General features: G+C 40.1%; 1 protein-coding gene across 11 annotated transcripts, besides 10 other annotated features; it reads left to right on the top strand.

Moving 5' to 3' along the window:
* Positions 1,069–1,238: an enhancer, noted in NCBI's record as "experimental_80014/80015 CRE fragment used in MPRA reporter constructs". NCBI's record gives its function as "activates a minimal promoter by MPRAs in K562 erythroleukemia cells, with activity observed for both the introgressed and non-introgressed 4:38807328 variant alleles {active_cell/tissue: K562}" and the evidence as "EXISTENCE:reporter gene assay evidence [ECO:0000049][PMID:34662402]".
* TLR1 (toll like receptor 1) lies at positions 1,216–19,291 on the top strand. Of its 11 annotated transcripts, none has more exons than XM_005262662.6 (5): positions 1,216–1,748; positions 2,073–2,106; positions 2,478–2,554; positions 5,912–6,003; positions 7,962–10,605. In XM_005262662.6, exon 5 carries the CDS (start codon positions 8,029–8,031, stop codon positions 10,387–10,389), a length of 2,361 nt encoding a protein of 786 aa, XP_005262719.1. In that variant the 5' UTR covers positions 1,216–1,748; positions 2,073–2,106; positions 2,478–2,554; positions 5,912–6,003; positions 7,962–8,028; the 3' UTR covers positions 10,390–10,605. The 11 variants fall into 11 exon arrangements, 7 of the variants coding, with proteins under 7 accessions (XP_005262719.1, XP_016864060.1, XP_011512044.1 ...); XR_925165.3 differs by lacking the exon at positions 1,216–1,748 and adding an exon at positions 15,629–19,291 and having other exon boundaries at positions 2,069–2,106; positions 7,962–10,489; XR_925163.3 differs by lacking the exon at positions 1,216–1,748 and adding an exon at positions 12,232–15,136 and having other exon boundaries at positions 2,069–2,106; positions 7,962–10,489.
* Positions 2,197–2,366: an enhancer, noted in NCBI's record as "experimental_79990 CRE fragment used in MPRA reporter constructs". NCBI's record gives its function as "activates a minimal promoter by MPRAs in K562 erythroleukemia cells, with activity observed for both the introgressed and non-introgressed 4:38806200 variant alleles {active_cell/tissue: K562}" and the evidence as "EXISTENCE:reporter gene assay evidence [ECO:0000049][PMID:34662402]".
* Positions 2,197–2,583: a biological region, named in NCBI's record as "Neanderthal introgressed variant-containing enhancers experimental_79971, experimental_79978, experimental_79983/79985 and experimental_79990".
* Positions 2,301–2,470: an enhancer, noted in NCBI's record as "experimental_79983/79985 CRE fragment used in MPRA reporter constructs". NCBI's record gives its function as "activates a minimal promoter by MPRAs in K562 erythroleukemia cells, with activity observed for the introgressed 4:38806096 variant allele {active_cell/tissue: K562}" and the evidence as "EXISTENCE:reporter gene assay evidence [ECO:0000049][PMID:34662402]".
* Positions 2,378–2,547: an enhancer, noted in NCBI's record as "experimental_79978 CRE fragment used in MPRA reporter constructs". NCBI's record gives its function as "activates a minimal promoter by MPRAs in K562 erythroleukemia cells, with activity observed for the non-introgressed 4:38806019 variant allele {active_cell/tissue: K562}" and the evidence as "EXISTENCE:reporter gene assay evidence [ECO:0000049][PMID:34662402]".
* Positions 2,414–2,583: an enhancer, noted in NCBI's record as "experimental_79971 CRE fragment used in MPRA reporter constructs". NCBI's record gives its function as "activates a minimal promoter by MPRAs in K562 erythroleukemia cells, with activity observed for the introgressed 4:38805983 variant allele {active_cell/tissue: K562}" and the evidence as "EXISTENCE:reporter gene assay evidence [ECO:0000049][PMID:34662402]".
* Positions 2,820–2,869: an enhancer, noted in NCBI's record as "active region_21449". NCBI's record gives its function as "activates an Ori minimal core promoter by ATAC-STARR-seq in GM12878 lymphoblastoid cells {active_cell/tissue: GM12878}" and the evidence as "EXISTENCE:reporter gene assay evidence [ECO:0000049][PMID:35858748]".
* Positions 3,938–4,232: an enhancer, noted in NCBI's record as "tiled region #13104; HepG2 Activating non-DNase unmatched - State 24:Quies, and K562 Activating DNase matched - State 9:DNaseU". NCBI's record gives its function as "activates a minimal TATA promoter and a strong SV40 promoter by Sharpr-MPRA in HepG2 and K562 cells {active_cell/tissue: HepG2 | K562}" and the evidence as "EXISTENCE:reporter gene assay evidence [ECO:0000049][PMID:27701403]".
* Positions 18,722–18,891: an enhancer, noted in NCBI's record as "experimental_79956/79957 CRE fragment used in MPRA reporter constructs". NCBI's record gives its function as "activates a minimal promoter by MPRAs in K562 erythroleukemia cells, with activity observed for the non-introgressed 4:38789675 or rs73236616 variant allele {active_cell/tissue: K562}" and the evidence as "EXISTENCE:reporter gene assay evidence [ECO:0000049][PMID:34662402]".
* Position 18,806: a transcriptional cis regulatory region, noted in NCBI's record as "Neanderthal adaptively introgressed variant 4:38789675 (GRCh37/hg19 assembly coordinates) or rs73236616 in the experimental_79956/79957 CRE". NCBI's record gives its function as "modulates activity of the experimental_79956/79957 enhancer by MPRAs in K562 erythroleukemia cells {active_cell/tissue: K562}" and the evidence as "EXISTENCE:reporter gene assay evidence [ECO:0000049][PMID:34662402]".
* Positions 19,292–22,820: the final 3,529 nt, after the last annotated feature.

Raw genomic sequence — 22,820 nt, 5'->3', positions numbered from 1 at the left:
GTAGAGGTAGGGGTAGGGGTAGGGGTAGGGGTAGGGGTAGGGGTAGAGGTAGGTAGAGGTAGAGGTGTAGAGGTAGAGGGGAAGTGTGTGTTTGTTGATTGATGGGTGTACATGATTACAAGTGTGTGTTTGTTCTGTGGTGACCCACTGGACAGCAGGGGGAAAAAGAGGCAGGTAGGTGCCTCCGAATTAGACACTTTATTTTATTTATTTATTTATTTATTTATTTATTTATTTATTTATTTATTTTTTGAGATAGAGTCTTGCTCTGTCACCCAGGCTAGAGTGCAGTGGTGTGATCTTGGCTCACTGCAACCTCCGCCTCTTGGGTTCAGGCGATTCTCCTGCCTCAGCCTCCTAAGTAGCTGAGATCACAGGCATGTGCCACCACGTCCGGCTAATTTTTTTTATTTTTAGTAGAGACGGGGTTTCGCCTTCTCTACTAGGCTGGTCTCAAACTCCTGACCTCAGGTGATCTGCCTGCCTCAGCCTCCCAAAGTGTTGGGATTGTAGGCATGAGCTACCATGCCCGGCCTGAATTATACACTTTAAACGGGTGTATTTTTTATCGTTTGTGAAATTTTTTATGGAAGGTGAAATTTTTTATGGTTTGTGAATTATATATCAATAAGGTTTTGTTAAAAAAAAACACAACTAACTACAGATTACATCTAATTGACAGCATATTTTTACTGCCCTGAATCCAAAAAGAAATGCCCAGGTATGGGCTAGGGGTGGGCAGAGACACACACACTTGTAATCATGTACACAACTGGGAGTAGTGGGGATGAGTCTGTGGGGAAAAACAGGAATTCAGAGTGCTGAGAAGCTTCCCTTACTGCCCTGCCCACTTCCCTCCCCTGGGCATTGCTCCCTCAGCCTGGATTCACAAAGTCAATGCCTTTGGGAGCCAGGAACTAAATTCTTAGTCAAAGACACCTCCCTCCTGTCCAGTTATGGGTCTCAGGGAGGAAATGGCAGGTGGGTGGTTTCATTCTTTCAGTTTCAGAAAATATCTGTAGACATAACATATTTCCTCTATTAAACAAATTCTGAGGTAAGGGGAAACAGAGAGAGACAGTCAGAACATTATAAGTCGAAAAGAATCTCAGCATTCTTAGTTTAGGGAAGTTGGCCTTGCTCGCTGTGTGGTAGAAAAGCTGATTACGGGAGAGAACCGTGGAGGGAAGGAAGGGAGGCAGTTTTGTCATCCCCACATCCGGTTTTGACTGGACACCATGCAGGCTGAGATCAACTTCAGAGGCAGTCAGCTGGAATCCCATAGCTTTATTTGCCCATTTATTGTGTTGTTATTTTGTTGTTGTCATTACTGGAAAAGGCAAGAGTAGAGCTATCAGAATGTCTTCCTTGAACATGCTGTCAACAAACCCCAGGATTTTTATAAACCCTATGTGAAAAACACGCTAAGAATCTCTTTTCTTCTTAGCATATTTTTCACTTAGGGTTTACAAAAATATGTTTTGAAGAAAGCTTGAAAAGATCAGTGGAAAAAAATTCAGCACCAAATTTTCTCTGAAAATCAACTTGTCAAAAAAGACGTGATTAACATCCATCCTGTAACCAGCACATGAATGATCTTCCCTCTTTACGAGTGTGCTTCAGCAAAACTTTAATCTCGACCCCTCCCTCTTTCCACTTTTAATAGTGGATGGATGAAAAGGCAAGAGGAAAAACAAAGCAGCCGAAACACACCCAGACGCACACTTCTGCCAAGCATAGCCACCACGGTAAGCATTTTGAATTCAGCCAATTATGATCTGTGGATTATTAACATTACCTCATTTACTTCATCAGTGTAGACAATAGTAAACTGACTGTAGTGAAATTTGGAACCATAGAAACGTGATTCTATTTTAATACAGGCCTATCAGGTAACCCACAGACTATGCTACATATGAATAAGAGAAAATAAGTTTATTCTTAACTATGTAATGTAATTCCAGTGGAATTCGGTAGGTGGCATAAAACAGCCTTTTTGTTTTGTTTTGTTTTCAACACCAAATGTGGTTAACAGTGAAATAAATTCAAGGAAGTGCTTGAATTTCTTACAGACTGCCAAATGGAACAGACAAGCAGGTTGTCTTGGTAAGCAACACATTCTTTTCTTTTGTAAAAGAAAATAATTGTATAGCTAGTTATTAAGTACAGAAGTCTCAAAAATCTGTGTAAGTCCTGGGTGTTTTTCTAAGTGGGTTATATTTCTGATATGTATATAGTTACTGTGTAGTTTGTACTGGCATTTGTGTATCAGTTCTGAGTCCTAAATCAGAGAAAGTCCCCACACTCCTCTGGGAATAACACCTCGTGTGTGATTTGCTTATAGGAAATATTTTTGAGTTGGGAAATGAATATTTGGGTCACACACGTCTTCTGGTTTTCTTCCAGAGCAGCTGCTAGTTGTTGATTTTGACAGCATTTCTCTTCACCTAATCCCGCCATTTGTATTCTCTTCTCAGTGTTAAAGAAAATGAGATATAAGTCAGTTACTCCCGGAGGCAATGCTGCTGTTCAGCTCTTCTGTTTTTGTGGCCAGGTTTGTTTCAGTTTTTCTCTCTGGGGCCTTCCCACTAGCTAGTCCTTCTGTTTCTCAGGCCACTAACACTGTTCTGGGGAGCTAGACGTGAGGTAGAATTGCAGGTTTTGAAAATGTTTCCCAGGCTACATCCAATTTGGTCAAAAGACTTGAAAGTGAATTTGTTTTATAACAAAGCAAGAGTTCACAAAACCGCATAGAAAGCAAAGCAGAACAGTTCTTGAACTGTCTCAGATTCTTTTAACCTTTGGTTAATAGCTATTTGGTCTTGTGCAGAGAAGGCCCTTAGTAAATATTTACAGGACTAAACTTAATGGGCCAGATAGATTGTATGGGTATTGTCCATTAAGACCAGTCAAAGCCTTGATTTGATGCCTCCAAAGTCTCCAAAAGAAGACAAATTAAATGTATTGATTCATTGTATCATATAATGTGAGGCTAAACCTATCATAATAATGAAAATTCACAGAAGCTCACCTAGAGGCATTTTACACTTTCAAATTAAAGCATCCTTTTCTGCTCAGCTTATTTTTTGGATAGTAAAAGAGTTTAAAGGTTCTAAAATAGATGAGGCTCAGTCATGGTCATTAAGACGTTGATCAAAAAATTCTTTGGTCTAGGAAACTGAGACATTGATTTTCATGGATTTAGCAAGTTTGGTATATAAAATTCAAAGATCCTGGAAGTATTAAAAATCAGTTATTCCTGTGTATAACATTTTGATTTCTTAATTATAGAAATAAGAATGGTTTCATAAACTGAGTACTTAAAATTAATGACTTTAAATGAAAGGGCAAGATGGAGGTTAGGCAAATAGAAGATATTTGAGTCAATTAATTTAGCTCGACATAAAACTGAAGCTATGCTTTCATTAAATGCTTGCGTTAGCAGTGGTGAATCCATATGGGTCGTAGAAACTTAATTCTTGCCTCCTCAGTGGAAAGAATTTGTGTGAGGGGCATAAGGCAGAGTGAGAGACCGAGGCAAGTTTTAGAGTAAGAGAGAGAGTGTCACGCCCAGGGCCAGGTTCCAGCCCATACTGAGGTCTGAGGGGAGGGGGTGGATGAGCAGATAGCTGAAAGAACACTCAGGGGGCCGTAGGCAGGTGAAAGGTGATTTTATTCAGCAACAGCTCTCATTAGCAGCTTACTTACAGTAGTTCTCTCAGACTGTCCGCCTTGTCCTGGCTGCTTAGTTCGGCAGCTTCCACACACAACTGTGCGTCCGGCTCTCCCTTGCCCTCAGGGTCAGCAGCTTAACTCTTTCTCTCTCTGGGTACAAGCAAGCCGAGCTGTGTCCTGGCTCCCCTCAGTCCATCTGCAAAGATGGACAGCTTTGGCTCTCTCTCTCTCTCTTTCTCTGGCTGCCAATGCACCTGTACAGCGTCAGCAGGGCAATTATACCATTTACGGACAATAGTGGCTTAGAGCCAAGGGATGAACCTTCCCTATGTTATGGCTATGGTAAGCTTCTCTATGTTATGTCTACATGGCTATGATAAAAAGTGAGTTATACGCCTGCGCTCTAAACTCGCTGAGTCACTCTGGATGTTTACCTTGGCCTATCCTTGACCAAAGCACAGCCATATTCCTTACAGAGAGTTTATTAAGAAGTTTTAGATCAGGAACGAAAGGAAATAAAGTACACTTGGAGGAGGGCCAAGTGGGCAACTTGAGAGATCCAAGTGCCCAGTTTAACCTATTACTTGGGGCTTATTTGTTGGCAGGCTTCTGGAGTCTTGCGTCTCTTCTCCCCTGATTCTTCCCTTGGGGTGGGCTGTCTGCATGTGCAGTGGCCTGCCAGCCCTTGGGATGGGCTGCACACACACTGTGTTTACTGAAGTTGTGTACATGCTCATTGGAGACATTTTTCCCTTGCCAGACAAGTCTTCCTAGAGGAAGGTCACATACCCGTTGAAGTCCGCCATTTTGCCTCTTGGTATGCATGCTCAAGCCTGCTTGCCCAGCTCCTGAGAGTTTGTCAGGAGTCTGCTAACCACCAGCTTCAGGTGTGTTTTCTATCTATTAGGAGACTGACTTTCCCTGATGCTGGCTGCAAACAATTATTATTCTAGAGAGACTGTTTTTTTGTTTTTGTTTGTTTGTTTTTGAGACAGAGTCTAGCCCTGTTGCCCAGGCTGGAGTGCAATGGCATGATCTTGGCTCACTGCAACCTCTGCCTCCTGGGTTCAAGCAATTCTCCTGCCTCAGCTTCCCCAGTAGCTGGGATTACAGGCACCTGCCATCACGCCCGGCTAATTTTTGTATTTTTAGTAGAGACAGGGTTTCACCATGCTGGCCAGACTAGTCTCAAACTCCCGACCTCAAGTGATCCACCTATCTCAGCCTCCCGAAGTGCTGGAATTACAGGCGTGAGCCATGGCCCCCGGCTTAGAGAGACTGTTTAACAACTGCCTGATCATCACCTGATGGTCACCTGATATTCCTGGTTGGGGGGCCCCTCTCCTGTCCTGCTCATGTCTGCCTAAGTACCTACTCTAACACTTGGGGGCAGGCAGTTATATAAATTTATATATTTTTGTGATGATAGCTGTTGTTAAGGGAAAAAGGACAACTTTCATCTTGCGTGTGGTAGGTTCTGCGAGCCAAGCTCTCGCACTCATGCACGGGGTCCTGTGTGCCTCTGATCACTTTTGAATACCACGCCTGACTGTGCTGATCACTGCTTCCATGAACTCTGGAGTTGGCTAGGAGGTGGAAAGAGCCTTGATCTGGATTCAGGCATAGGAATAAGCAGGGAACCCCACTTAGGCCTTAAGACCAGGCCACTTTTGCTTCGACCTAGCTTGGCACTGCCCCAGGGTATTATTTTTATTCCCATTATTTTAGTCTGTTTAAATTGCTGTAACAAAGTACCAGAATGGGTGACTTATAAACAACAGACACTTACTTTTCACAGTTCTGGAAGGTAGAAGTCTAAGATCAGGGTGGTAGTGTTGGGTTCTGGCGAAGGCCCTCTTCTGGTTTGCGGATGCCTCCTTCTTGTATTTTCATATGGCAGAATGACAGCCTGAGGCTCTCTGGGGTCTTTTTTATAAAGGTACTAATCTGACTCATAAAGGCTCTATTCTTATGACCTAATTACTTCACAATTTTCTCCTGCTAATACCATCACCTTGGGGGTTAGGATTTCAACATAAGAATTTCACAGGGCACAAACATTCAAGCTATAACATCCATTGAAATATTGCTCCTTGTGTGAGTAGCTCTTTAAGGAAGCTGGAGAGGAAGAATTGGGAAATTTCCGGGTCTTTCAGCCAAATACAGTTAATGTCATAAAAACACCACCTTGACTTTTAACATGAACATTAATGTCTGCATCATCTTCCTTGCTCAGGGTCTTCATGAACACTAATAGGGGTACCAGGCCCTCTTCCTCGTTAGAAGAAATCAGGATAACAAAGGCATATTGGGCACCCCTACAAAAGGGTAAGTCCAAGGAAGGCTCCAAAACCCAGATAAGTTTGCACATCTAAATTGGGGAACTTTTGTAACCGAGGGTTGTTTGTAGCAGCTAAATTATTTAGGTTCTCTGTGCTCATTGAGATATGGGAGGGGATATGTGAAGAGGAATTTGGTGCTTTGCTGATACTAATGCCCTGCTTGTCTAATGGTTCTAGGGGATTTTGAATAAGTTCCTTGTGAGAACTGGGTAGCTGTGTAATCACGGCTGAAAGGGTCTCTGGAGGTGAGGACTGCACACTCTAGAGTTCATCCCAACACAGCTCCCTCTGTTCTCATACGCCACTGGAATGCTGACCACAAAATGGTGTCTTAGCTAGAGCAGTTTGAATACTGGTACAATAGGCATAACCTAGAACAGTGCCTACCACTGCATGGAGAATAAATACATATTTGATGAATGAATGAAAAAAGTATTCTGAATAAGAGAGAGGAGGAAACAACTCCCTTTCTCAAAACCTCCCAGTGTTCTCCACCCTCTCATCATTTTTGGAATAGAATCCCAACTCCTTGCAATGATCAACAAAGCCTGAGTGATCTTGGCCCTAACTCCTCTCATCTTCCCTAACTCCTTACTAACATTGACCTTCCCGTTCCTTCTCAGACAAGCCAAGCTCAATTCCATCTCAGGTCCTTTATACTTGCCTTTTCTTTTGCCAGAAATGCTGTAGGTTACCCAGATCTTCCCATAGGTTACTCATTCACTTCATTTTGATTTCTACTCTAGTGTCATCATCTCAAAAAGGCCTTCTCTAACTAATCACTCAAAAATAGCCACCCCCAAGCACTGTCTCATACCTACAATTTACCCTGCTTTATTTTTCTCTACAGAACTTATCACTACAGGAACTTGAGTTTAGTCATTCATTTATTTTCTGTCTCCCCACTAGATAAAAACTCCTTGAGAATTCGGACTTTATCTTGTTCACTGCTCTATCTCCAGTTCTTAAAACATGGCCAGTAGGTGATCAATAAATACTGGTTGAATAAATAAATGGATGAATAAATGGATCTTCTGAGAGGCCTTTTATCAGGATCTAATTACCTTTTGAGTAAGACCAAAGTTAGACCCAAACCGTGTATAGGTCATAAAGGGTAATAGAAGAGCAGTCCCAATACCACCATTAGGAACACCTCTTGAGAAAGTCATGGGGAGATGTACGTCAAAGAGTGAAAGTACACCAGTTGAGTCTTAGCTGGAGTTCTAAATAATTTTGGGAAGCTTGGGGCCAGAAAACTTTCTATGAACCCACCTGTATTAGTTTCCTGAGGCTGCTGTAACAGATGATCATAAACGTGGTGGCTTTGCCCTCAACGTTCTGGAGAGCAGAAGTCGAAACTCAAGGTGTCAGCAGGGCCACCATCACTCCAGAGCCTCCTCTAGCTTCTGGCGCCTGTTGATGTTCCTTGCCTTGTAGCTGCTGCACTCCAGTCTCTGCCTCCACTGTCACAAGGCCTTCTCCTCTGTGTCTCAATTGCCTCTTCTCTTGTCTCTTTGTCAAATATCCCTCTGCCTTTCTCTTAAAAAAGCACTTGTCATTGGATTTATGGACCACCTGGATAATTTGGGATGATCTCCTCATCTCAAGATCCTTAACTTTATTATCTCTGCAAAGACCCCTTTTCTAAGGAAGGTAACATTCATGGTTTCTGGGGATTAGGACATGGTTAAGATGTAGACATATCTTTTGGTGAGCCACCATTCAACCTATTACACCATCCATATTAAAACTTATTTGATTAGAGCTGGCATCATTATTTACCAATATATATACTTCTCTAGTTTTAGGCCATGTAACCCAAAAGAATGTAGCCTCCACTTTATAAGTCTGTAACAAAAAAAAGTTTAATGTCAGCCATGACTAATTTCGTGTATTTTAAAAATGTATGTAATGTATTTCATCATTTCATTATTTTTTTTCTAGAATCTGTATCTGTATCAAGATGATCTGAAGAACAGCTTCTACCTTTAGGAATGTCTAGTGTTCCAAAATGACTAGCATCTTCCATTTTGCCATTATCTTCATGTTAATACTTCAGATCAGAATACAATTATCTGAAGAAAGTGAATTTTTAGTTGATAGGTCAAAAAACGGTCTCATCCACGTTCCTAAAGACCTATCCCAGAAAACAACAATCTTAAATATATCGCAAAATTATATATCTGAGCTTTGGACTTCTGACATCTTATCACTGTCAAAACTGAGGATTTTGATAATTTCTCATAATAGAATCCAGTATCTTGATATCAGTGTTTTCAAATTCAACCAGGAATTGGAATACTTGGATTTGTCCCACAACAAGTTGGTGAAGATTTCTTGCCACCCTACTGTGAACCTCAAGCACTTGGACCTGTCATTTAATGCATTTGATGCCCTGCCTATATGCAAAGAGTTTGGCAATATGTCTCAACTAAAATTTCTGGGGTTGAGCACCACACACTTAGAAAAATCTAGTGTGCTGCCAATTGCTCATTTGAATATCAGCAAGGTCTTGCTGGTCTTAGGAGAGACTTATGGGGAAAAAGAAGACCCTGAGGGCCTTCAAGACTTTAACACTGAGAGTCTGCACATTGTGTTCCCCACAAACAAAGAATTCCATTTTATTTTGGATGTGTCAGTCAAGACTGTAGCAAATCTGGAACTATCTAATATCAAATGTGTGCTAGAAGATAACAAATGTTCTTACTTCCTAAGTATTCTGGCGAAACTTCAAACAAATCCAAAGTTATCAAATCTTACCTTAAACAACATTGAAACAACTTGGAATTCTTTCATTAGGATCCTCCAGCTGGTTTGGCATACAACTGTATGGTATTTCTCAATTTCAAACGTGAAGCTACAGGGTCAGCTGGACTTCAGAGATTTTGATTATTCTGGCACTTCCTTGAAGGCCTTGTCTATACACCAAGTTGTCAGCGATGTGTTCGGTTTTCCGCAAAGTTATATCTATGAAATCTTTTCGAATATGAACATCAAAAATTTCACAGTGTCTGGTACACGCATGGTCCACATGCTTTGCCCATCCAAAATTAGCCCGTTCCTGCATTTGGATTTTTCCAATAATCTCTTAACAGACACGGTTTTTGAAAATTGTGGGCACCTTACTGAGTTGGAGACACTTATTTTACAAATGAATCAATTAAAAGAACTTTCAAAAATAGCTGAAATGACTACACAGATGAAGTCTCTGCAACAATTGGATATTAGCCAGAATTCTGTAAGCTATGATGAAAAGAAAGGAGACTGTTCTTGGACTAAAAGTTTATTAAGTTTAAATATGTCTTCAAATATACTTACTGACACTATTTTCAGATGTTTACCTCCCAGGATCAAGGTACTTGATCTTCACAGCAATAAAATAAAGAGCATTCCTAAACAAGTCGTAAAACTGGAAGCTTTGCAAGAACTCAATGTTGCTTTCAATTCTTTAACTGACCTTCCTGGATGTGGCAGCTTTAGCAGCCTTTCTGTATTGATCATTGATCACAATTCAGTTTCCCACCCATCGGCTGATTTCTTCCAGAGCTGCCAGAAGATGAGGTCAATAAAAGCAGGGGACAATCCATTCCAATGTACCTGTGAGCTAGGAGAATTTGTCAAAAATATAGACCAAGTATCAAGTGAAGTGTTAGAGGGCTGGCCTGATTCTTATAAGTGTGACTACCCGGAAAGTTATAGAGGAACCCTACTAAAGGACTTTCACATGTCTGAATTATCCTGCAACATAACTCTGCTGATCGTCACCATCGTTGCCACCATGCTGGTGTTGGCTGTGACTGTGACCTCCCTCTGCAGCTACTTGGATCTGCCCTGGTATCTCAGGATGGTGTGCCAGTGGACCCAGACCCGGCGCAGGGCCAGGAACATACCCTTAGAAGAACTCCAAAGAAATCTCCAGTTTCATGCATTTATTTCATATAGTGGGCACGATTCTTTCTGGGTGAAGAATGAATTATTGCCAAACCTAGAGAAAGAAGGTATGCAGATTTGCCTTCATGAGAGAAACTTTGTTCCTGGCAAGAGCATTGTGGAAAATATCATCACCTGCATTGAGAAGAGTTACAAGTCCATCTTTGTTTTGTCTCCCAACTTTGTCCAGAGTGAATGGTGCCATTATGAACTCTACTTTGCCCATCACAATCTCTTTCATGAAGGATCTAATAGCTTAATCCTGATCTTGCTGGAACCCATTCCGCAGTACTCCATTCCTAGCAGTTATCACAAGCTCAAAAGTCTCATGGCCAGGAGGACTTATTTGGAATGGCCCAAGGAAAAGAGCAAACGTGGCCTTTTTTGGGCTAACTTAAGGGCAGCCATTAATATTAAGCTGACAGAGCAAGCAAAGAAATAGATTACACATCAAGTGAAAAATATTCCTCCTGTTGATATTGCTGCTTTTGGAAGTTCCAACAATGACTTTATTTTGCATCAGCATAGATGTAAACACAATTGTGAGTGTATGATGTAGGTAAAAATATATACCTTCGGGTCGCAGTTCACCATTTATATGTGGTATTAAAAATTAATGAAATGATATAACTTTGATTTAAACAGTTCTGACACATAAGGGATCCACTTGTTTCTTTGCTATAACTGAGTTCTGAATTTATCATGAAGTCAAGGGAAGCACCTGTTTTTCTTCAGTGATGTGTGTTCTAGTGTATCATGGCCAATATTGGAAAATGCCGTGACTTTTGTGAATATAGCTGGGTTTGTATAGCAGATTTCTACAGCTTTTGATGCTTTCCTCATATCCATGGTGCATTCAACTCAACTTATTGATGGCTGCTCGTTGATAAAGCTGGAGACACTATGCCTGAAGGTTCCTCCCCAACCCCCCACCATCATGCCCACACAAAGGGCAGTTCAGAAGTGCTGGAAATTGTCCTTGGAAACAGCCCTCAACCAATGTCAGAAAGAGCTGGTGGATAAATATCCCAACTTTCTCACTCATTTTTTGAGATAAATCAAAAAATGGGGTATACTTTACACTCTCCCTGAGTTCCCCAGTAGGATAAAATTCTGGTTGTCCACAGTAGAAATGGCTTGATTAAGTATTCTCGACTGGCTTCCTTCCCATTTTTTTCTCACTTACTTATTCCTCCATGTGTATTCCATGGGATCACCTCTGTGATAAACTACTTGCCACTGAATATTTGTCTCAGGGGCTGCTTATGAGGGAGCCCAGACCAAGAAAGTGTTCCACCTCAGTCCAAATGAAAATTCTGAGTCTAGTTTTCCATGACTGGAGATCTCGCTGAGATTCTGGTTGTATGAACTAACATGCACAAGAGCCTTTGCTCTTTTGATTAGAAGGAAGAATATAGTTGATATACGGTGCTTCTATATATAGCATCTGTCTCTTTGGGGAACTATTAAAGTAGAGCATGAGCAGATGGGGCAGTGTAAGGAATGGATATATCTGATGCTTTTCATACCCATCAAACATCCTGTCAGTCTACATTTTTACTCCAGCAGCCAGCTCTGGGCAGGTGTAGTCTTGACAAAAACCTTGTCATAACTACACCATGTATCTTTCACTTTATGCCCCATGACTTCACTGATACCACTGCGTGGGATGCTTGTAGAAGCCTGTTCTACCATTCTGATACATGCACAAACCTGGAAGCACAAGGGATAACACTACGGGATGGGAAGCATTATATACATGCTCCTTTCTTCTATTCTTGGGTTAAAAAATGAGGTGTAATTGATACCTTTTCTCAGACAATCCCTAGTGGCACTGAGGTTTACTTACCCACAGGGTAACCAGCTCAGTAACTTGGTTTTGCATTGACTTTCCATTCTTCCTTGGTCACTCTTCTCATTCGGGTCACTCTTGAGTCCTGAGATCGCTGCTCCAAACAAGCGACCTTTCCTTAACTCAAGGAGTCTAGAAAAAATAAATAAAATAAAAAGCAACAAAAACCAAAAAGCCTACAAATGACCAGCCCACAAAGCTCTCATCTCAGTCTCTACTTTTTTGAGTGGGAAGGAACCCAACTAACACATACATATCTATTAGCTTCTTGGCCTAAAGAACTTACAGTCAATCAGAGAACACTAAACATATCCAAATAACTAAAATAAAAATCAATGAAACAAAGCTATAAAATGGAAGTTCAGAGGTTGCTTAAATTGAGTGAAAAAAAATCTTAGAAATGATGTGTCTTTTTTTTTTTTTTTCCATTAGGTCTTGAAGGAAGACTTTAACTTTGGATTTTTCAATGTGTAATGATGAAGAATGGAAAGGCCATTCTAAACAGAAAGATAAAGAGAGCAAAGGCAGGTATACCCAGGCCTATTCTTGGACTGGTATCCCAGTTTGACTGGACCGTGAGGTTCATGAAAAACAACAGTAGGATAGGAGTGTGGAAAGTTATATTAAGACTATATTGTCAAGGATCTTGAAAGTCAAACCACGGAGTTAGAGCTTGAAAATAGAGGAAAGTCATTATTTAAACTTCTTTGAAGCATAATAGTGGGAGGCAAATTCAAACCATGAAATGTATGCTAAAAATAGGAGAACTATTGTTCTGTAATGGAATTGCAAAAATTGTAAGAACTGGATTTTCCCATTTTCTCTAGGATGATTGCACTTTCTGTATTGAACTTCAAGATTTCATAACCAAGTTTCAACTACTCAGCAAGCAGTTATGTATTCGTTTTCAAGGTCTATTTTAACAAAGTCTATTTTAACAAGCTGGGTGGCCTAAACAACTGAAATTTATTCCCATAGTTCTGGAGGCTGAAAGTCCAAAATCAAGGTGTTGGCAGGGTTGGCTGCTTTTGAGAGGAGAGAGGGAAGGATCCATTTCTACTGTGGACAACCCAGTCTCTTTTCTTAACTCATAGATGGCTGTCTTTTCTCTGTCTCTTCACATCGTCTTCCCTCTATGCCTGTCTGTCTCTGTGTCCAAAATTCTTTTTTTTTTTTAATAAGGACACCAATTACATTGGATTAGGGCCCACTCTAATGACCTCATTTTAACTAAGTACATCTCCCAACAACCTTATTTCCAAGGAAGGGGTAATTCTGAGGTTCTGGGGTTCAGGACTTCAACATATGAATTTTCGGAGACACAATTCAACTTGTTACACCCTGTAAATCCGAAAAAGAATTCCCTGAAAGGAACCTAAAGTCACTTAGAGTTTATTTAATAAACTCAAAATTTTTAGACGTTAGATCAGTCCTATACATAAATAGCTGATCTCATAAGTGGTTTTAAGGATGCTGGCGGGAGGTTGAAATTGTATTGGTGGAGTCTCCTGCCAAAGAATTCAAAGTTGGAAGATGAAGAATTCAGGCCAAAGTATGATAAATATCAATGAAAATAAGAGAGATTTCACAGATAAATGAGAGGAAGTATTACAGAATGGGTAAATATGCAAGCCCTTAATCAAGTCTGGGTTTCAATTCTAGCTCCGTCATGTATTTGCAGATGATCTTGGACAAGTTACTTAAACTTTCTAAGCATAGATTTCATTATTTGTAAAATATAGTCTTAGAGTAGCTAGCCAAGACCTTTAGATTTCCAAGTATAAATTAAAAGACTGGTCAAATATGTCTCCCAAACTACAGTTTTCACATAGCGAGCTTTCCAAGTGGTACTGTTGAAGCCCTTTCCCTAGGACCTAGGTCAGAGGGAGCACACCCCACCCATCCTTCTTGAGGGTAAATGAAACTCATAATATACCAAAACCTCTCTCCAAAATGCTCTTCTAATGTATAACTCCTCTCAGTCTCTCCAATCCCCTTTATTGGCTAGAGATGGGTAGTTAGCAAAGGTCACAAAACCAGTTATCTAGTCTCACACCTCACTCGGGGGACCTCCACCAAAATTGAGACTAACCTAGTTCCATTTTATCAGCCTGCTATACTAGCGAGACTGCAGTGGGATGGGCATTTCATATGGCAATAATAGGAGGGCAAAGTAATTTGGAGATATATATATATATATATATATAATTTGAAAATACTCATGCTCTTTGATCTGTCAGTTCCACTTTTAGGAATTTATCCTAAGGAAATAAGTTGAAATGTGAACAAATATTTATTTATAAGTATGTTAACTGTGAGGTTATTAGCAGCCATGGAAAATTGGAGACATTCCAAATTTCTAACAATGGGGGAATGTGTTTAATGACATATTGTACAACCATTTAATATAATGTATAGGATTAAGATGGTAATTTTTATGTTATGTCTTTTTCACTACAATTTTTAAAAAAATGTATAGGGCCTGGTGTGGTGGCACAGTTTCTGTAATCCCAGCAACTCAGGAGACTGAGGCAGGAGGATCGCTTGAGCCCAGGCATTCGAGGCTGCAGTGAGCTATGCTTATATTACAATATAAATAAAAAGCATAGGATACAAAAGTATATGTACACTATGATTTCAACTAGGTTAAAATATGCATAGAAAATGGTCTAGATGAAATATGAAAAAATTATCACTGCTTGCCTACAACTGGTGTTTGTTTTTGTTTTTATACTTTTCTGTACTTGAAAAATTTACAACAAACAAATAAGGAAATGGGGCTTAGGAGACCAAAAATAGGTCTCTCCAGTGGAACAATAGAGAATAAATAAAGGTTATAAAGCTGGGCTTTGTAAACCGGCATGCTGGGATTAAATCCTGGCTCAATTTCTCTGTAGAAGAGAAAAGAGAGGGCACAAATCCTCTGTCCATAGATGAATTCCTTCACCCTTCCTAGCCTCCTTTTTCTCATCTATAAAATGGGCATAATACTGGTACCTCTCTCATATGGTTGTTTTAGAAATCGGTGGTACAATGTGTGTAACTGACTTATCTCAGGGTCATGGCTATTCACTCTAGAGGTGGCAGACACAGTGGGGAAGAGAAGCATCTCGGACCTCCACCTGAATTTTGCTTCTTCCACCTTCTTCTAGTGACTTTGGGTGGTTATGTACTCCTTCTCTGCTTTATTACTGTGGAGACGTAAAATGAGAGTAATGGAAATACCTGTCTCATACTATTGTTACGAGGATTAAGTGAGTTAATACATATAATGTCTATAGAACAGTTCCTGGCATTAAGCAAAAGCTCAATAAATGTTAGAGTTATTATTATGTCATTATCATCATTCTTCTTGTCCTTATTATACCAACAAATATGGAACTGGAGCTGAAGTGCTGATCATGTTTCATCTAGATTATCCTGGGCTTTCTAAGATGAAATAAAATCAGAAAAGAGACAAAAGTTACAGAAAAACTGGGAACAGCTCCATGTTAAACAAGCGAATGAACAAATGAGGCAAACAAAACAACTAAAAATGGCAAATGGGGAAATAAGAAATTGGGAAGTAAACTGTTAGCAAATATCATAGATAAAATTCATGTATATCAAGAACTAATAGAATAAAATAGAAAAGCACTAAGATCTCCATTGATATGTGGGCAATAAGCATGGTCAGCCCAAAACAGGATCCAGTTAGAAAATGAATTTATGAAAAATTTCAACCTCATTAATGCAGCCCAAGTGTCCCCAAGATTTCTCATTTTTTGGGTTACCACTTCCTTTTCATTTTAAGTAAAATGACTCAAGTCCCCAACCCCTGTGTTTACAGGAAAACAGTTCCTCCTGAGGATTTCAGAGAAGAGCTGGACTTCCTGGCTGACTCTCACATTCTCTTCTTCTGAACTGCTTCTTCTGGTAGCTCCCTGTCACTTTGGACAAGCTCGCACTGCCCTCCTTGGCTGTTCTGGAACTGTGTGATGGACTTCATCCTACTAGGACACAGTTGCTTCTTGAATTCCCCAGATAAACACCCACCCGTGTGAATGACAAGCCATAATAAAAATTAATTGTCAAAATTAATCAACAAGGTCCCAAACAAGATTGAGAGCCAGGGGACAGAAGTGCCACCGGTAATTATATAGTCACAGGCAGACCTATGAGGATGTTCATCTTTCCTCTAAGACAACTTGAAGTTACAGACGTTTCTTAGAACTTAAAAAGTTTGATAGCCCCTTACCCAAAGAAATAGAAGCATTGGAAAATATGTTAAAGAAATTTCTATGAAATTAGAACAAAATGACTTATTTTGCAAGAGAAAAAATAAGTAAAAGCCTAACTCTGAGAAGTCCACATCCATCTAATAGGTGTTCCAGAATCAGAAAAAGAGATGAGGTGAAGACATTATCAAAAAAAATAATAATAATAAGACGGAGAAATCCCACTGAAGGACATGAATCTCCTAAAAGTACCCAGCAAAACGAACAGTTCAAAGACCCAAACCAAGGCACTTTCTCTTGAAATTTTAGACCATCAGGAACAACAATAGTAAAAGCTTCCAGAGAGAGAGAAAGAAAAAAGAAACCAGGTTACATACAAAGAATCAGAAATCAGAATAACCATGCATCTCTCAGTACAATGCTAGAAGCTAGAACTTACAGAACAATACCTTCAAAATTGTATAGAAAAATCATTTGCAACATATAACTTTATATCCAGCCAAACAGTCAATCAAATATGAGGCATGACATGTAAGTTCTCCCTCCAAATTAACCATCAATGCATTCTTTCGGGAAACTACTGGATGATGAATTCCACTATAACAGATAAAAACCAAGAAAGGAGATGCTGTGCATCCCAAGAAACGAGAGATCTAATACAGCAGAGAGGAGCAACAGCTTTCCAGGATAGCAACAACTCAAAGTCAGAGGATGTCAGCTCTGCAGAAATCCAATGCATGCTGGAGCAAAATGACAGACAGTAATTTGAGAGAGGTGATTGTTTATTTGATAGATTTCATTATATTACATTTTTTGACTTGAGAGCTATTTGGGAATGTGAGGAAAATTATCATAGAAGCATTGAAAACTAACAAAATAAAATACAAGGCAATTATTAACTACAAGAAAACCAAAAAGCATAATCATAGACTGTAATCATAGTGTATAATGTAGCTTTTAGTGAGGCCCAACATTACATAGATCATAATAATGTAAACACTGAACATCAATTTAACCAAAAGTAAGAGTTCATATATAAATCTCTGCCAAAATATTGCTCTTTTAAAAAGTAAACCATTGAGGCCTGATGCAGTGGCTCATGCCTGTATTCCCAGCACTTTGGGAGGCCGAGGCAGGTGGATCACCCGAGGTCAAGAGTTCAAGACCAACCTGGGTAACATGGTGAAACCCCGGCTCTACTAAAAATACAAAAATTAGCCGGGCATGGTTGTGCGTGCCTGTAATCTCAGCTACTTGGGAGGCTGAAACATGAGAATCACTTGAACCTGGAAGGCGATCACATCGTTGCACTCTAGCCTGAGCGGCAGAGCTAGACTCCAGCTCAACAAAAAAAAAAGAAAAGAAAAAGAAAAAAAAAGTAAACCATTGAGTTAGATAAATGCTTTCTTTTTAAATCAGATATAAATGATACCAGCTGCTGTAGTGTGCTGGTAAATGTTTAACAACAGATTCGCAGAAAAACAAAATGCTTTGACAAATTATTAACATTTTCTTCATTACTTTTGTAAGTCTAGAAAATTAACAAAACAATAACTAAAGTCCTAATTTATAGTGTTTGCCAATTTTATGGTGTAAATACTCCTACCATGGTTGATTTCAAGGTACCAACATGACATCGCTGAAGGTGGAGTTGGAAAGAAAAGTGCAGTATACCATTCATTGTAAAGTGTTTCCACCATAACAGATACAGTAGACAAAAATAACTCCCAGAACATAATGATGGTAAATATACAGTCAAATAATTAGGAAGTGATGAGTTCTGAGTATTTACTACTTTTGTTTTAAATATAGCTTTATTTATTTATTTATTTATTTTAGAGATAGAGTCTTGCTGTGCCACTTGTGCTGGAGTGCAGTGGCACAATCATAGCTCACTGTAACATCAAACTCCTCAGCTCCAGAGATCCTCTTGCCTCAGCCTCCCGAGTAGCTAGGAATATGGGCATGCCACTACACCTGGCTCATTTAAAAATTTTTTTGTAGAGACGGGGTCTTGCTATGTTGCCCAGGCTGGCCTTGAACTCCTGGCTTCAAAGGATCCTCCTGCCTTGGCCTCCCAAAGTACTGGGATTACACACGAGTCACTGCACTTGGCCCTAAATATAGTTTATTTAAATGCAGGTATATATGATTTCATTTTTAATAATGATTATTTTTAACAACTGGCTCACAAAATTCTTGAAAATTAAAAATTGGCTCTTATGAGCTGGTATAAGCTGGCTCTAGCAGAGCCCTGGACGTATTGAAATATATCTTAGTAAGCATGATTCAGTGTATAATTGTTCATATTCAGTGCAAGCAACAATGGCATGTGGCTTGGATGCAAACAAGGAAATCCAGGGGAATTCCTCAAGCTGACATGTCTTTTTGGATATTTGTTATATGATTAAGTCTTGGAATTCTGCCTAAGAGCAATGCTAAGCAACTAATTAATAAAGTTATAATAATACCTAGACCAGGATGAGAAATCCAGGCTTTCCTCTTTTTGTCTGTACTCTTTTCTCTTTACCGCTCCCTTGTTTAGCCTTGTATTTTATTTTCTCCCTTCCTTTTCTCTCCATTTCTCTCTTGTTCTTTGCCTTCCATCCTAATTTTCTCTATTTGTGTTTCCCTTGTTCTTTCTCTTTTTTGCTTTTCCCTTTTGATCCTCTCCTCCCAGTGCTTTTCTCTTCCATTTCTCTCTTTCCTCTTTAATTTTTCTTTCATATTTATTTGTCCTCCTTTTCTTCCCCATGTCACTTCTAATAGATACACATATTCCTTCTCTGCCCCTAAAGCCTTTGGGATAATTTCTGAGGACGTGGGTTCTAAGTGATGGCTCTTACAACAGGACCATTCCCAGAGTGAGCAGGGTCAGTTGAGAGGGGAAGTGGGAGCGGGAGTCAGGGGTAGCACATGGGAAAATGAGAGATGAGAAATGTCAATATTTGGTATCATTAGGGAAAGTTTCGTGGGTGCATTAGAGTTCAAGTTTGTTGGCTCATTGTAGGACTGTCATTTATTAACCTAAGGCTCTAGTCCTGTTTGTGTAATATGGTAGCCACTAGCCGTATGTGGCTATGGAATGCTTGAAAAGTGACAAACCTGAATTGAAATGTGCTGTAAGTGTAAAACACACACCAAATTTCAAAGACATTATATAAAAAAAGAATGTCAAATATCTTGCTAGTAATTTTTTATATTGAGTACTTGCGAAATAATATTTTAATGTGGTGAATTATATAAAATATATTATTAAAATTAATTTCACCTCTTTTTGTCTTTTTAATGTGGTTACCAAATCTCTCCAAAGTCTTTCAGGTTCCTAGCACGTATCTAGGATCATTTTATTTTATTCTTTTTCTTTTTTCTTTTTTTTTTTTTGAGACGGGCTTTGCTCATGTTGCCCAGGCTGGAGTGCAGTGGCGCGATCTTGGTTCACTGCAACCTCCGCCTCCCAGCTTCAAGCAATTCTGCTGCCTCAGCTTCCCAAGTAGCTGGGATTACAGGTGCATGCCACCATGCCTGGCTAATTTTTTGTATTTTCAGTAGAGACAGGGTTTCACCATGTTGGCCAGGCTGGTCTCAAACTCCTGACCTCAGGTGATCCACCCACCTCGGCCTCCCAAAGTGCTGGGATTACAGGCATGAGCCGCTGTGCCCGGCCAGGATCATTTTATTTGTTTGAACTAAAATGTTCTCCTTATACTCAAATGTAGTAAATGAATGACAAATGATTTAAATTTTCTAACCATGTGAGAATTTTATTACTTTTCATTTATTTTTCAGAAATAGGATTCAGAAAAAAAAAAAGTTGTTACTATTTTCACTTACTGATACCAGTAATTAAAGTAAAGGAGCTTTCCCCAGCTAACACGTGCTCCACACTAGACCCTGAACCACCCGCAGTGCTCTTAGGGAGAATGCAAGCCCAGGCCCTTTCTTCTACCCGTGAGCAGCTCTAGGTCATGTAACTTTCCTACCTGCCTGGATCAGGGACCAAGGCCCTCTTAAAGGCAAGAACTATAAAAATAGACTGGGTGCGGTGGCTCATACCTGTAATCCCAGCACTTTGGGAGGCCGAGGTGAGTGGGTCACCTGAGGTCAGGAGTTCAAGACCAGCCTGGCCAAGATGGCAAACCCCATCTCTACTAAAAATACAAAACTTAGTCGAGCATGGTGGCACATGCCTGTGATCCCAGCTATTTGGGAGGCTGAGGCAGGAGAATCACTTGAACCCAGGAGGAGGAGGTTGCAGTGAGCTGAGATCATGCCACTGCACTCCAGCCTGGGCAGCAGAGCAAGACTCTATCTCAAAATAATAATAAAAATAAAATAAGCTAGCCGCCTGTAAGGTGGTCATGAATCCTCTGCCCAATAGAGACGCTCCATCTTGCATAGTGAGGCAAAGATCTGATCAGATTTCCCTTCTTGGGGGAAGTATTCTCAGAGCGGGCCTCAGCCCTTGACTGTAAGCCATGAGCCTGGGAAAAGGCTGTAGGAAGACACATATAGAAGCAAAGGCAGCAATAAAGAGAAGTGGGGAATAGAAAGAGAAGCAGATTGAGGAAGAGTCAAAGAGAAGTCAAGTCATAGCTAAAGTGGAGAGCAGCCCAACCAGACAGCCTGACCACCACGGCTGCTCTGGGAGTCCCCAGAAGCCACTGCTCCAGGTCTCTAGAGGGCCTGGCTGTGCTGCTGTGTTTCCTTACAGCCTCTAGTGTCTTTAAAATAAACCTCCATCCCCTTGTGGTAACCCAAGGTTCTCTGTTCATTGCAACATATATGAAGGCAGAATCACAGCTGGCCCACGTCTGGTATCAGAGGAAGACATAGGAGGGAAATGTGTGTTTGTGTGTTTGTGTGTGTGCGTGCGTGTGTGTGCGCGTGCCTGCGTGCATGCATGTGTGTAGGGGCAGGGGGAAGTTTTTTAAAAAGGAATAAAAATATTACATCTTAAAGTTATCAGCACATATGGTTCTGAGCATACTATTCTTGGTTGCTAGTTGTGAATAAAGATTTAAACGTTTTAGAAATCTCAGGTGAAGGCAGAGAGAGTATTACATAACCTCTTGGGCATCTGGAGTCGTGAAAAAATTGTGGGCTTTGGAACCAGACTTACTTAGTTTTGAATCTTGGCTCCCTCCCCTATTGGATGATGACCTTGTGCAAGTTTTTTGTTCTCTCTCAACCAGTTTTTCCATCTGGCGAATGGGAATAAAGTATATGTTCTATGTAGTTTGTGGTGGTGATTAGCCAATATCTTGTGTGCAATACTATCTGCACTTAGGAAGTAAATGCAAGCTTAATGATGATGATTAGATGACACAAGCAACAACTCTACTTGGCTCAACTTGTTTTTGGTAAACAAATGTAAAAACACTTAAAGAAAACTTCTCCGTTTTCTGACAATAAAGTATTTAAACATGTTGGTCTCTGGGGAAAGGAAGAATATGTCTTTGGACAACAAAAACCCCAAGTGATTATTTTTCCTTGAGAGGGCAATATACAGTGTGAGTGTGCTGATCATAGTAATTTGAGAATTTCTGAAATGAAAAAGATTTTAGAGCTTAGTTCATCCAACAAGCTGGGAATCCCCTCTCCAACGTTCCTGACGGGTGTTCCTGTCTTCCTACGTTTGTGTAATATAGACATGTTTGTATATGTTTAGGTGAGGAGCAGAGCTGGTTTTGTTTTGCTGTTGTTTTTCTTTTTACAGTTATTTATATTTTGTGTGATTTCCCCCTACAATATATGTGGAAATACATGGACTACATTTTAAATTTAAAAACCCCAATATGATAGTTAAAAAATGTATTTTAAGAACCCACCCACTCCCCAATTTTATAAGACATAAATCTATTATAATCATTCATGTTTAAATTGATCATTCCTCCTGTAGACAAATCCATCTGGAAATTTTCTTCTTTACTCGTGATCTCCAGCAGTCACCTAAATCTTAAGTCAAGTATGAAAAAAACCTCAAAAATGTTGCTTTAAAAATTGATCCGTACTTTGCGATCTACATTTTAAAAAATACCATGCTTATTTTACCACTTCACTTCAAGAAAAGGCCTCTAGGTCAGAGGTCTCCAATCTTTTTGGCACCAGGACCAATTTCATGGAAGACAGTTTTTCCACAGACCGGGTTTGGAGATGGAGGAGAGATGGTTTCGGGATGATTCAAGCACATTACATTTATTGTGCACTTTATTTCTATTATTATGACATTGTAATATATAATGAAATAATTATACAACTCACCATAATGTAGAATCAGTGGAAGCCCTGAGCCTGTTTTCCTGCAACTAGATGGTCCCATCTGACATGATGGGAAGCAGTGACAGATCATCAGACATTAGATTCTCATAAGGAGCACGCAACCTAGATCCCTCCCATATGCAGCTCACAGTAGGGTCCAAGCTCCTATGAGAATCTAATGCTGCCACTGATATGACAGGGTGTGGAGCTCAGGTGGTAATGCAAGCGATGGGGAGCGACTGTAAATACAGATGAAGCTTCATTTGCTTACCCACCACTCACCTCCTGCTGTGTGGCTCGGTTCCTAACAGGCCATGAACTGGTACCTGTCTGTGGCCCAGGGGTTGGGGACCACTGCTCTAGATAACTCCTTTCCACCCTCTTCCTGCCTGATTGCTGAAATTATGGAGTCACCATTCCTACTCCTGCCCATCATCACATGACTGCCCCACCCAACTGATGAAAGGGATAACCGACCTGCACCTTGAAGAAAAGCATCATCAAAGAGCTCTAAGATGCTGTGGAAAACCAGTATGGTAGTTC

Source organism: Homo sapiens, chromosome 4 (genome assembly GCF_000001405.40).
Source record: "Homo sapiens chromosome 4, GRCh38.p14 Primary Assembly".
In the NCBI taxonomy this organism is placed as follows: domain Eukaryota; kingdom Metazoa; phylum Chordata; class Mammalia; order Primates; family Hominidae; genus Homo; species Homo sapiens.
This window is presented reverse-complemented; position numbering and strand designations above follow the sequence as displayed.

What these genes read in the sequence shown, in the direction of transcription:
- TLR1 (XM_017008571.3), top strand. Translation starts at nt 8,029, where the DNA reads ATGACTAGCATCTTCCATTTTGCCATTATCTTCATGTTAATACTTCAG.